The sequence below is a fragment of the Homo sapiens genome, chromosome 17 (genome assembly GCF_000001405.40).
Source record: "Homo sapiens chromosome 17, GRCh38.p14 Primary Assembly".
In the NCBI taxonomy this organism is placed as follows: Eukaryota; Metazoa; Chordata; class Mammalia; order Primates; family Hominidae; genus Homo; species Homo sapiens.
In genome coordinates this window covers 45549576-45563622 of record NC_000017.11, presented here as the reverse complement: position 1 = coordinate 45563622, position 14047 = coordinate 45549576, and the positions used below count along the sequence as shown (strand labels likewise).

Sequence of the window (14047 nt, the reverse complement as noted above, 5' to 3'; positions counted from 1 at the left end):
TCTAGAAGTCTGAAAACGTAGGAGTCAACTCTGAAAAATCTACAGTGGTTTCTGGGGTTTAATCTTGGCATGACTTTACCCCTGCATCTCTGCCCTCTGCAGGTAGTTTTGTTTATGGGTGTCATTGGTTGAATAAATAATTGTTTTAGTTGCTACAATAAATAAAACATGATCTGTGCTCTAAAGGAGTCCACAGTTGAGCCAGGGGGGCATGAGTAATTGCCTGTAATATAATTGTGCTCACGCTGTCATGGAGGACCGTACAAAGTGTCAGAAGCACAGTGCCAGGAGGCACAGCAAAGGGTAGTAGAGGTGACATTTGAGCCAAGCCTTGAAAACTGTCTAGGATTTCTCAGCATTTCAGCAAAGTAAGGCAATTTCTGTCTAAAATATATAGGCAACGTTTTTATTAAAAATACGAGAAATTAATTAAATAACAGATTATGACCACAATGCAGATTTAAAAACTAAGGTATGATGAGTGCCATTGACCGGTTCATCCAGACAGTTCAGAGAACAGAACATCCATGTAGATCCTTCTTGTATTACAGAATACAAAGGAGCGGAAAATTTTGCCTCAGTAACTGCCAGGTCATTCTAATTAAAGTACCTATACATTGTAATATAATTCCTCCATTAAGGTAACAGCCAATCAGGTGGTACAGAGTCTGTGCCATTCAGTCAAGAAATTCACTCCCTTAACCTAGACTGTGCTGGAAATTCATTGACAAATTTTGTTCTTTGGTTCTCCATTTTTCTTCAGAATTCATGCAGACCACTTGACTTCCTTAGCATTTTCTTTTGTGGGCGTATATTAATGTCTTTGGTTAAGCTTCAGCTTCCGTTTGCATCAATCCTGTTGTAATCGTGCCTCCTGAGGCATCTTTTTGCTTCCCTTGCATCAGTTTCCAAAATCCTACTTTCTGCTTGGTAAGGGGAGTATCCATTTTCTTTAAAGCAGTGGTTTTCAAACTTGCCTGCACATCAGAATTATTTGGGGAGAAGGATAAAAATACAGATTACTGAGCTTCACCTGGGATTCTGTAGATTTGAGTTGCATTTGGGATTACTTTAAACAATTTACCAGATGATTTTTGCGGCACCTCCACTTCAGTTTTAGGAAGGACTGTTTCAAGGCAGCTTTTCAAACTTTAATGACCATAGAAATCACCTGAAGATTGTGAGAAACTGCAGTTCCTAATTTAGTAGGCCTGCGTTTAGGCCTGAGGTTCTGAATTTCTCTGAAACGTGATAATAGCAAATCCCTCGTTGAGTAGCAAGGTTGTTTTTTGTTTTTTTCTTTTTTTTCCAATATCTTCATGACATTCAATGAGTAGCAGAGTTCGAAGATAACTTCTGGAATTTCATCTAATGTGTATTAATTTTTACTCATCTGGATCTTAGGGGAAATAACCTATCAGGTTATAGGGAAGTGTTTCTCAAAGTATGGTTCCCCAAACAGCACAATCTGGGAATTGTTAGAAATGCAAGTTCTCGGCTGGGCACTGTGGCTCATGCCTGTAATCCCAGCACTTTGGGAGGCTGAAGCGGGTGGATCACCTGAGGTGAGGAGTTTGAGACCAGCCTGGCTAACATGGTGAGACCCCGTCTCTATTAAAAATACAAAAAAAATTAGCTGGGCATGGTGGTGGTACTTCTTAAAATTTTTTTAGAGACAGAGTATCCCTGTGTTGCCCAGGCTGGTCTCTAAATCCTGACCTCAAGCAATCCTCCTGCCTCAGCCTCTTAAGTAGCTAGGTACAAGCCACCATGCCCAGCTATATTGACTTGTTTTTGAGACGGAGTCTCTGTTGCCTAGGCTGGAGGGCAGTGGTGCGATCTTGGCTCACTGCAACCTCCGCCTCCCGGGTTCACGTGATTCTCCTGCCTCGGCCTCCTGAGTAGCTGGGACCACAGGCATGCACCACCATGCCTGGCTAATTTTTGTATTTTAGTAGAGATGGAGTTTCACCATGTTGGCCAGACTGGTCTTGAACTCCTGACCTCAAATGATCCACCCCCGCCTTCGCCTCCCAAAGTGCTGAGACTACAGGTGTGGGCCACCACGCCTGACCATATATTTACCTTTATGTGAATTTAAGATGTGTGGGTGTGACCAAGTCGTCTGCCGGCTGTTATATAAAGGAGACTTTATCATCAACATGCTCATCATCAGTCACAAACTGCCTATTTGGAACTCCCTTCAGTTCTCAGAGGATGGAAACATTCTTTAAGCGGCCTTGTAGAAATCCTATTCCATGTTAACATGCCAACCAATTTTACTTTCCCAGAGCCACAGAAGGATATCTCATTGTATGCCTCAATTCAATCACCTTTCCATTTTCAAGGACCGATTTCAATTCCTGATTGGCTACTTGATCTGACTGCTTCCTGCTAATCTTGTTGCCTATTGTCTATATATATTCCATTTCTCATTGAATTAACCTTGATCAAATCTGAGAACTCTGCTTAGTAATGACTCCAGGTATACTATACCCACTTTTGTAGCTTATTCAACACCCTCTTCAATCCTGGTTCCACTTCCTGTGACTGAAATGATTACCTGTGGAATATTCTTCAACTTTTGGACTATGATGTGTTTCTAACCTGTGACCATTTCACATAGCCACTCAAATATGGTAAAGGTACGGTAAAGATGATGAAACAGTTACTTGGTATCATTTTGTAAGTAATGAGTTTTTAGTGTGCTTTGGACCTTGAGACCACTTCATAAGCTTTAGATTTTGAGAATTTCACAGCATAAAGCTCATCGCTGATGCAGTAATGAAGGAAATGTTCTACAAGTTAATAGATGAGTGAGAGGAGAGGGCATTCATATTAGATTTATTTACTTACTGAACTCAGAGCCTTGGGTTACTACTTGACCCCCACTGTTATCTAGTTTAAGGGTCCTTTTATTTTTTGTTTTTTTGAGGTGGAGTTTCACTCTTGTTCCCCAGGCTAGAGTGCAATGGCCCGGTCTCTGCTCACTGCAATCTCCGCCTCCCAGATTCTCCTGTCTCAGCCTCCCAAGTAGCTGGGATTATAGGTACCCACCACCACGCCCTGCTAGTTTTTGTATTTTTAGTAGAGACAGGGTTTCACCATATTGGTCAGGCTGGTCTCGAACTCCTGACCTCAGGCAGTCTGCCCACCTCAGCCTCCCAAAGTGCTGGGATTACAGGCATGAGCAACTGCTCCTGGCCTTAAGTGTTCTTTTCTACTTTAGCACATGCACCTAGTTCCTGTCTTTTTTGGTTTTTATAAATACAGAAAAGAGAATAATGTTTTAAAATCAAGGAAAGGCCTAAGGCATCTGTGAGGGTTTTTTGTTTTTGTTTTTGTTTCAGTGAAATGAAGGGAAATGGTCGCCAGCAAGAACTGTGGCAACGTTATCCAAGGTGACAACTGTCTGTACCACCCAGGGGCTCAGAGCCCTTCTGAAGTTTCCTAGATGTTCCGAAAGTCTCCACTGTGACTCATGATACAGGCTGGTCTCCGTGGTAGCACTCAACGTTTAAAAATTAGTCTTCATTGCCAGGCGTGGTGGCTCACGCCTGTAATCCCAGCACTTTGGGAGGCTGAGGTGGGTGGATCCCGATGTCAGGAGATGGAGATCATCCTGGCTAACACGGTGAAACCCCATCTCTACTAAAAATACAAAAAATTAGCCGGCAGTGGTGGGGGGGCACCTGTAGTCCCAGCTACTCTGGAGGCTGAGGCAGGAGAATGGCGTGAACCCGGGAGGCGGAGCTTGCAGTGAGCCGAGATCGTGCCACTGCACTCCAGCCTGGGCGACAGAGGGAGACTCCGTCTCAAAAAAAAAAAAAAAATAGTCTTCATTTCTCCTTCCCAACAAGCATTTCTCTTTCTCTTCAGTGGGAAAAAGTAATTTCATTTTTTACTTGCTCATTGTTTTATTCATTCACTCAATCAACAGATCATCTATCCTGTATTGTATGCCAAGAACTGTGCTTTGTTCTGGGAATGAAAAAAGAATAAGATATGTTTTCCTCTGGCACTTATGGAGCTTATAAACCAGTGACAGAGGAAGGTGCATAAACAAATCAACAAAGAATTAACTTTACTATTCTTATTAATTTCTAATACAATAAATTTGACTATTTGTATCATTTGAGTTTCATGAATATAATCATATTCTACACTTACAAAATGAAATAGACATAAGAAAGAACTGGTGATGTAAGAAATTCACAGAAATGTGTAAAATATTTCAAGAATTAACACTCAGTAGATATTTGCATTGTCAAAGAAGCTTATAAATGCAGATGAACCTCTAGTTGTTTTAGTTGCTTGTAAAATGTATAGAGGTATGTGTATTTCCTCTTTAAGCAGGGGTAACTTGGGGTGGGGGATGGGTGGGTTCATCTTATCTATTCTTCAGGTCATGTTCTCAAGAAGGAGCTACTGAATGGGAAGACTGAAACAATTTCTTTTCTTTGCACAGTTGGTATTGATAAATCTCAGGTGTATCCAAAATAAAATCTCTGGCAGGCTGTGATATTTGTGGGTCTGTCTCTTGTGACTTTAGGTTCCTCTTGGCAGCAGACATAAGGCAGTTGCACATCAGGCCCTTGCCTGAAACAGCTCCTGATGCCAAGAACTGGTGAATTACTACTTTGGTTTCAATGGATGGTCAGAAAGGATCATCAGGATAAACTTTGTGGATTTTCTCTCACTAACCACGCTCTCCTTTCAACATTGAAATTCTAGACTTTAGACAGAAGTATTGAACTGGGTTACAGGGAGGGGATGTGAGAGGCCCCCTGCCATTGAGGATAAGTGGACATGTCTGAATTGGCCTGCTACCTAAAATTAATAATCTCAATCACTTGGATGGTGGTGTCCATAATTTTCTCCACTGTTTGTGTGGCATATAATAAGTAATGGTTGCACCTAGCAATTCATTTACAAATCTTACTTGATTTTGAAGCCATAGAACACCTCAACTGTTAGCTTGAATGACTGGAGTTTAGTTTTTATTTCTCAGAACAAAACAGTTTGAAGCCTAATTAACATCCTCGGAAGGAACTTAACACTAAAACTCCTAACAGCTTCAGTTTTCTGACCTTGAAGAAAGGGAAAATGAAGAGACCATGGTGCCACTTCCGAAGCAAAGCCTGAAGTTCTGTGCTTTAGAGGTGGTGTTGCCATCCTATGATTGCAGGAGTCTGGCCTTGGCTTGGTGGAGGAGCCTGTGGATAAGGCGAAGGAAGGTCTGTTTTCATTGGGGGTAGAGGAGGGTAAGGAGTTGAAATGGGAAGGATCTCTTTTTTCTTGCTGTCTAAAACTTGTCTTTTCAGACACATATCAAGCCTTTCCCTCTCTGAGCTACTGAAGTCCTGGGCAGAGGTTTTCTGTCTTACAATACAGACTTTTACCTTAGGCAATACCTGACAGAGCCTTTAAATAAGTAAATAAATTGCTTTAATAAATTGATTTAATACATTGATTTATTAATTAATAAATTTATTTAATAAATTGATTTATTAATTAACTAATTTTGAGAGAGAGTCTTGCTCTGTCACCAGGCTGGAGTGCAGTGGCGTGATCTCGGCTCACTGCAACCTCCGCCTCCCGGGTTCAAGGCATTCTCCTGCCTCAGCCTCCTGAGTAGCTGGGATTACAGGCGCCCACCACCACACCCAGCTAATTTTTGTATTTTTAGTAGAGATGGGGTTTCACCATGTTGGCCAGGATGGTCTCGATCTCCTGACCTCGTGATCTGCCTGCCTTGGCCTCCCAAAGTGCTGGGATTACAAGTGTGAGCCACCCCACCCGGCCAGAACCTTTAAATTTAAAATTGTACAGTGTACTTCCTGCCAAGAAGCGTAGGAGGAAGAAGGAAGTAATGTTTTTCCAGTTTTCGGTTAAGAACTTGCTTTGTATTAAAATAGTCCTTCAAGTCTACAGCCATACCACCCTGAACGCGCCCAATCTCGTCTAAAATAGTCCTTCAAATATGTATCTCTTATAGCCTTCAGTTATCCCAACAAAATTATCTAAAGATTTGTTTATCTATTTATTATTATTTTTTAGAGACAGGGTCTTGCTCTGTTGCCCAGGCTAGAGTGCAGTAGCATGCTCATAGCTCATTGCAACCTCAAACTGCTGGGCTCAAGGGATCCTCCCACCTTAGCCTCCTGACTAGCCAGGACTACAGGCGTGTGCCACCACATGTGGCTAATTATTTTTTCTGGAGATGGGGTCTTGCTGTGTTGTCCTGCCTGGTCTCAAACTCCTGGCCTCAAGTGATCCTCTTCCCCCAGGATCCCAAGGTGCTGGAGTTATAGGCATGAGCCACCCACCATGCCAAGTCATCATGTAAAGATTTACAGAAAGTTTTGTGTAAACATTGTCTTTTTTTTTTTTTTGAAGCAGAGTCTTGCCCTGTCGCGCAGGCTGGAGTGCAGTGGTGTGATCTCGGCTCACTGCAACCTCCACCTCCCAGGTTCAAGTGATTCTCCTGCCTGACACTCCTGGGTAGCTGGGATTACAGGCATGCACCACCATGCCTGGCTAATCTTTGTATTTTTAGTAGAGATGGGGTTTCATTGTGTTGGTCAGGCCGGTCTCAAACTCCTGACCTCGTGATCCATCTGCCTTGGCCTCTGAAAGTGCTAGGATTACAGGCATGAGCAACTGCGCCCGGCCCATTCAGCCTTTTTTTTACTCGTAGAAGGGCTTCAGTGGAACAAGAGTCTACTAGAGATACTAGAAAGGGTACTCAATTGATAACTGACGTTGAGATTTTTTTCTAGTATTCATGGCCCTCAGGCTTAGGGTTTGAAGTCAGAGGCAGGGCTGTAGGCTAATGGAGGGGAGTAGGCTTTCATGGATGATGCCCAGGGAGGAGCCAGATTATCTGTACCAAACCTTTTTTGTTTTTTTGAGACAGAGTCTTGCTCTGTCGCCCAGGCTGGAGTGCACCGGTGTGATCTCGGCTCACTGCAACCTCCACCTCCCAGGTTCAAGCAGTTCACCTCCCTCCTGCCCACCACCACACTCAGCCAATTTTTAATTTTTAAAAAATTTTTTAGTAGAGACAGGGTTTCATCATGTTGCTCAGGCTGGTCTCAAACTCCTGACCTCAAGTGATCTGCCCATCTTGGCCTCTCAAAGTACTGGGATTACAGATATGAGCCACTGTGCCTGGCCTCTTTTTGAAAATAGTCTTACTCTGTCACCCAGGCTGGAGTGCAGTGGAATGATCTCGGCTCACTGCAACCTCCGCCTCCCGGTTCAAGCTATTCTTGTGCCTCAGACTCCCAGGTAGCTGGGATTACAGGTGTGTGCCACCACACTCGGCTAATTTTTGTATTTTTAGGAGAGATGGGGTTTCACCACGTTGGCTAGGCTGTTCTTGAACTCCTGGCCTCAACCCGCCTTGGCATCCTAAAGTGCTGGGATTACAGGCATGGGCCACCGTGTCCAGCCAACAAAGCTTTTTTTCAGTGAGTGATTCCAGCCCTTGATGCATAGGAGGGTGGGGTCCATAGGAGTGTAGCCTTAACTGATGAATTAAATCTCTGGGTGATGTGAGATATGTGCCAGGTTCTTGGCTTATGTCTCCCTCTAGTACTTTAGGAACTTCCCAACTAGATGGAGGCAGTAAAAATGGGCCCTGCCAGGATGTACCTATAACAGAGACGTTCAACCATACCCTTGTGCTGTCTGCCTTTAATCACGAAGATTATGAGCTAAGATTCGTGGATGCATTTTTATTTTTTAACCAACATGTAGCAATGATCACTCAGATAGGCATCTTAAATCCATTAGTTTGGGTTGGATTTAAGACCGTTGTCATTCCTATGAAAGGGAAGATAGCCCAGATTGCTATTGAGAAGGCTTTGTCAGATGCATTCCAGAAACTGTTGATTGTGGTTCTAGGTAAAACTTTCTTAATCGTCGTTGAAGTACTTCAGTTTCAGTGAGCAAATAAACTCATTTTGAAAAGTTAATTGGATAAAAATATCGATATCTAAAACACTCCCTAGGATGCTTTCATTTGCTAAGTTCTTTCACAGCGACAGGCTCAAATTTGTTCTTTGTGACATTTGTAGAAAAAATGACAGCAAATATTGTCCCTAGTTTATAGCTATAAAAGGACTTGCCTCAGGTCACACAGAAAATGTTTGAGGCAGGTCTTCTTTAATTGCATGCCTATCGTACAGAATAGTGATTATAAGCCCTGGACACATGGATTTGAGTCCTAACTCTGTCTCTTAGATTTTTGTATGCAGTTTTAGGTCTTATGGCCAGAGAGATTTGAAGATATTTAATATCTCTAAGCTGCAATCTTTATCTGCAAACTGGGGTTAGTAATCCAATCAACCTTATTGCTGATATTGTAAGAAAAAATGAGATGACAAGTGTAAAAACTCAGAACTATACTTACAAGGTAAGCAGACAAAATATGCTATTGTTGTGATTGTTTTCTCTCTGAATAAATAAACTCTGCTGAAGAATTTATTAGATTATGTTTCTCGAATCGAGAATTCAGTTCCAGCTCTCATTTCTGGCACTGACATATTGGCCAAATATGATTCTTATACAATAATCAGCTGCTTTGCTGTGAGCCTTGGAAGTGGTCATGCTGTTGAATGGCACTGCTTGTATTTCCTATTCAGTTCTACAGTGGCACAAATGTCATAGCCTGTGCCCAAAGGAAACCTGGTGTTTAACGAGTCCCTGAACAGAGTTGCCTTTCTGCTTCACAACCCTGAAGGCTTAGAGACTGAGATTGTAATTAAGTTACTACAGACCTTTATTTGCTTGTAAGAGGTGGCCCTGATTGCTCTCAGCTTTCCAACCTGGGCAGCCCTTCTAGTGAAAGTCTTACTTCCTTGGTCATCAACTGTCAAGTCTGAGTAATGACATTTAATAACCAAGCTAAATGTGTGGGTTGTCTACCCCTCCCTAGTATGCAAAGGTATCCCTTGCACACACTCACTTCTTAGACCAAAAGCCTTATAGTTCTAGTTTGCCTTGAAGGAAATTGTATTGTCTATAGAGTATGTGGGCCATTTTCTGCCCGTAAAATGTTCAAATGTTTTCTCTCTCTAAAGCTTTGTTCATTGTATCTGGTGGAATTTTGGTTCTCAGGGAGTAGACACCTAGCCATGCTTCTAATGTGAAGTGTCTACTAGCCCAGTGGTCTCTATTTTGGATTTGAACTTACTTCGACCCCCCACCTGGTGCCTTACCTTTTAATCATGTTATGATTGAACATTTTTATTTCCACATTTTTTATTTCTTACGTTATTATTCCTTAGTTCCTATCTGTAAGATCATAAAGTCCTTTGAACCAAACACAGTTGATATTTCATACATATGTTAAAAACTGAGCTGTGAGACCAGACATGATGACTCACGCTTGAAATCTCAGCATTTCGGGAGGCCAAGACAGAAGGATCACTTCAAGCCAGGAGTTCGAGACCAGCCTGGAAAACAAAGCGGGACCATGTCTCTAAAAAAGAGAATTAGACGGGCACAGTGATATAGTGCCTGCTACTCTGGAGGCTGAAGCAGGAGGATGACTTGAGCCCAGGAATTCCAGGCTACAGTGAGCTATGATAGTGCCACTGTACTCCAGCCTGGGTGACAGAGTGAGACCCTGTCTAAAAGAAAAAAGAAAAACAAAAATCGAAGTGTATGATGAAGAGATGAGGAAACTTTCAGGAAAATGCTTATTTCCTGCTTTTAGAAACTAAAAGAATGTCTCATTGTGGGTTGCTACCATTATATGCAGGAAGTTTTGGAATGAAAAAGATTCTGAATTCATCCTTGCTAACTTTATTTCAGAAAGTGGTAAAATAGCTATGGAGTACAGACCCAGTGAAGAGATTGTAGATGTCAGATGGGAAGAAGAACTACACGGTTTAATATAAGTATGTGGAGATAAAAACTCAAAGGTAACAGGGCCGGGCACAGTGGCTCACACCTGTAATGCCAGTGCTTTGGGAGGCTGAGGCGGGTGGATCACCTGAGGTCAGGAGTTCAAGATCAGACTGACCAACATGGAGAAATGGTGGCACATGCCTGTAATCCCAGCTACTCGGGAGGCTGAGGCAGGAGAATCGCTTGGACCCGGGAAGCGGAGGTTCCGGTAAGCCAAGATCACACCATTGCACTCCAGCCTGGGCAACAAGAGTGAAACTCTATCTCAAAAAACAAACAGGCCAGGCGCTGTGGCTCACACCTGTAATCCCAGCACTTTGGGAGGCCGAGGTGGGTGGATCATGAGGTCAGGAGTTCAAGACCAGCCTGGCCAATATGGTGAAACCCTGTCTCTACTAAAAATACAAAAATTGGCTGGGTGTGGTGGTGGGCACCTGTAATCCCAGCTACTTGGGAAACTGAGGCATGAAAACCACTAGAACCCAGGAGGCGGAGGTTGCAGTGAGCCGAGATCATGCCACTGCATTCCAGCCTGGGTGACAGAGCAAGACACTCTCTCGAGGAAAAAAAAAAAAAGAAAAGAAAAACAACTCAAGGGTTGGATAACATTGCCAGTATAACCATAATTCAAAACAAGCAGCAGAATTTGGAGGATAATTTGTTTAATTCTCAGGAAAATGTGAAACTCTGAAACTGCTTTTTGAGTGCAGGGTATTTCCGGGGCTTTTCCTAAAGTCTTAACCCTTGGCTCTGACCCCTTATTTGAAGTTTGGAGAGCAGAACCGAGGATTGTATTACTACAGTTGTGGACACAGGAGAGGGGTTAGTCTCCCCCCGCTCCAGGAGTAAGGGATGCTGGGCTGCTCGAACACAGGCCTTGTTAGAACTCCCTTCAAACAGGATCCCAGAGATGTGGGGAGAAGGTAACTGGCCTTAAGAATGATTGCGCTACAGCTTTTGAAAACTATAATGCCTTTCAAATATGGCTTATTGCTTGGATCTCAATATCTCCCACGTATCTTGGGTGGAATATTTTGCTGAAGATCTTTCTGTCAATCATTTACAATCATGTGCTGCAAAATGAAGTTTGCGTCAACAGTAGACCACATATATGATGGTGGTTCCGTAAGCGTATAATGGAGCTATCCCTATATAGGTATACCATTTTTATCTTTTTTTTTTTTTTTTTTTTTTTTTTTTTTTTGAGATGGAGTCTCACTCTGTTGTCCAGGCTGGAGTGCGGTGGTATGATCCCAGCTCATTGCAACCTCCACCTCCCAGGTTCAAGTGATTCTCCTACCTCAGCCTCCTGAGTAGCTGGGATTATAGACACGCGTCACCACACTCAGCTAATTTTTGTATTTTTAGTAGAGATGGGGTTTCATCATGTTGGCCAGGCTGGTCTTGAACTCCTGAGCTCAAGTGATCCACCCACCTTGGCGTCCCAAAGTGCTGGGATTACAGGCATGAGCCACTGTGCCCAGGCCCCATTTTTATCTTTTACACAGTATTTTAACTATATATTTTCCATGTTTACATACACAAATACCTGCCATTCTGTGACAGTTGCCTTTAGTATTCAGTACAGTAACATACAGTACAGGTTTGTAGCCTAGGAGTCCTAAGCCATACCGTGTACCCTAGGTATGGTGGCTACACCACCTAGGTTTGTGTAAGTATACGCTATGATATTAGCACAATGGTGAAATCACCTAGTGACCCATTTCTCAAGCTCCTCACGTGGCAAGCAATGCATGACTGCATATGAAAGCTCTTAAATAGGGATTGTTTCTAAATTAATCTCAAAACAGTCATTATTTACTATTTATGGAATTTTTTTTAAAAAAAGGAGCAAAAGTCTCATTTCAGTGGGAACTTAACTTGGGGCTACAGTGTTTTATTTAACTTTTACCCCAAAGTTGCAAAGTGTTTTGAAATTTTTCCCTGTAAAATAATTATTTTAATTCAATTTAAATAAAACCCACCAAGGAGACTTCAAGCTTTAAGAAGTCTAGCTTCCTGTGAAATGTGAGAGGAAGTCAGCACTCATTTCAGAAATCTGATTATAACAATAGCTCCATCCCTAAATGAGGTGAATCTTGGAATCTCTTCCATTTTATTTTATTTTATTTTTTTGAGATGGAGTTTCTCTCTTGTTGCCCAGGCTGAAGTGCAATGTTGTGATCTCGGCTCACTGCAACCTCTGCCTCCCAGGTTCAAGCGATTCTCCTGCTTTGGCCTCCTGAGTAGCTGGGATTGCAGGTATGCACCACCACACCTGGCTAATTTTGTATTTTTAGTAGAGACGGAGTTTCACCATGTTGGTTAGGCTGGTCTCGAACTTCTGACCTCAGTGATCCCCCCACCTCGGCCTCCCAAAGTTCTGGGATTATGGGTGTGAGCCACCACACCCGGCCCCCCTTCAATTTTAAAGCCATCACTATGCACCCTATGTCTATGCCAGGCACTAAAATAAGATGAAGCACCTTCTTGGAGTTTACATGCTGGTAATTATGCCAGACAGTAATAAAATAGGTAAGAACGGCTGTGGGGGAAGTCAGCTGGGTTCTAGTTACAGTCGCATTTCAGGAAATGATTTAACATGCTGACTTTAACAACCTAAGCCTCTTCTCCATGTGTGCACACAGGGTAGATCTCTGAACACAGGTGACCCTAGAAGTGCTGTAACTTCTAGGGGAATGGCTGTGTTGAGTCAAGGCAGGATGACAGTTCAGCCTCCTCCCAGGCTAGTGCAAAGGGCTCTTCACTCGGATTAAAACCTTCTCTCCCAGACCGAATTGCCAACTCCCAACACCCCTCCTACAGAAAATTTGGAGTCCTCGCTTATTCCCTGGCAGCCCCTACCTAATAGGGTGGTGAATTAATTATCAAACATGCGACAGTTTAGCGAAAATGGCAACACTTTGGAATAAGTGACTGTAATGTGCATCCTGGCGCCCATTTTGCAGGTCAGTTGCTCTCCCTGGAAGGAAGAGTGTTCTCGGATTTCACCTTAAAGGAGGAAGGCTGCCAGAACTGAACTAGCACTTCTGAATATCCTGAGGCGAGGTCCGGTGACTTCCTTGGGAAGCTCTGCCACGCCCCCACCCCACCCTACCCCACCCTACCCCACCACAGCAGGCGCTGGAGTCCTGGGACCACCAGGGTCTGAGGCCCAAATCCTTCCTCACTAAGGGGAGGAGAGGGGTGTTCCGGCAGGGCAGGATGGGAAGGCGTGCTTGGGCGGGATTGTGACATAAGAGTGCCCTGGTGACATGGAGCAGATCTGTGACATAAATAAAGGTGTCATAAAGACAGGGCGGGGCTCACGCTTAGAAGGGGCACGAGCGTCTCGGAGCTGCCAGAATGTCTTCTGCTCAGTGCCCGGCACTAGTGTGTGTCATGTCCCGGCTGCGTTTCTGGGGCCCATGGCCCCTCCTTATGTGGCAACTATTGTGGCTACTAGTTAAGGAGGCTCAGCCTCTGGAGTGGGTCAAGGACCCGCTCCAGCTCACCTCTAATCCCCTGGGGCCGCCTGAGTCCTGGTCTTCCCACTCCTCCCATTTCCCACGGGAATCTCCCCATGCGCCTACTCTCCCAGCAGACCCGTGGGACTTTGATCACCTGGGGCCCTCTGCTTCCTCAGAGATGCCAGCCCCACCCCAGGAATCGACTGAAAATTTGGTTCCATTCCTGGACACCTGGGATTCAGCTGGAGAGCAGCCCCTGGAGCCAGAGCAGTTCTTGGCTTCACAGCAGGATTTAAAGGACAAGCTGAGTCCACAGGAAAGACTCCCTGTTTCGCCCAAGAAGCTGAAGAAAGATCCAGCTCAGCGTTGGAGCCTTGCTGAGATTATTGGAATTGCACGCCAATTATCCACACCTCAGAGTCAGAAACAGACTTTGCAGAATGAATATTCCAGTACAGATACACCGTATCCCAGTAGCCTGCCTCCAGAACTCCGGGTGAAGTCAGATGAGCCTCCAGGGCCCTCTGAGCAAGTTGGACCTTCTCAATTCCATCTAGAGCCCGAAACTCAAAATCCAGAGACCCTTGAAGACATCCAGTCCTCTTCACTCCAGCAAGAAGCCCCAGCACAGCTTCCACAGCTCCTTGAGGAAGAAC

At 43.9% G+C, this 14047-nt stretch overlaps 1 long non-coding RNA gene and 1 pseudogene across 9 annotated transcripts in view; one reads left to right on the top strand and one right to left on the bottom strand.

Moving 5' to 3' along the window:
• Positions 1–392: 392 nt before the first annotated feature.
• LOC105369225 (uncharacterized) overlaps positions 393–14047 on the bottom strand; it is a 72359-nt gene continuing 58704 nt past the window's right edge. For 6 of the 9 annotated variants that reach the window (XR_002958152.2, XR_007065814.1, XR_001752910.3 and 3 more), the window contains one exon: positions 4974–5216. This is a non-coding gene — a long non-coding RNA (uncharacterized LOC105369225). Of the gene's footprint in view, positions 978–4973; positions 9465–14047 lie in introns of those variants that run through there. The other 3 variants (XR_007065816.1, XR_007065815.1, XR_001752914.2) reach the window with 2 other exon arrangements.
• Positions 4553–9913, top strand: RDM1P1 (RDM1 pseudogene 1; annotated as a pseudogene).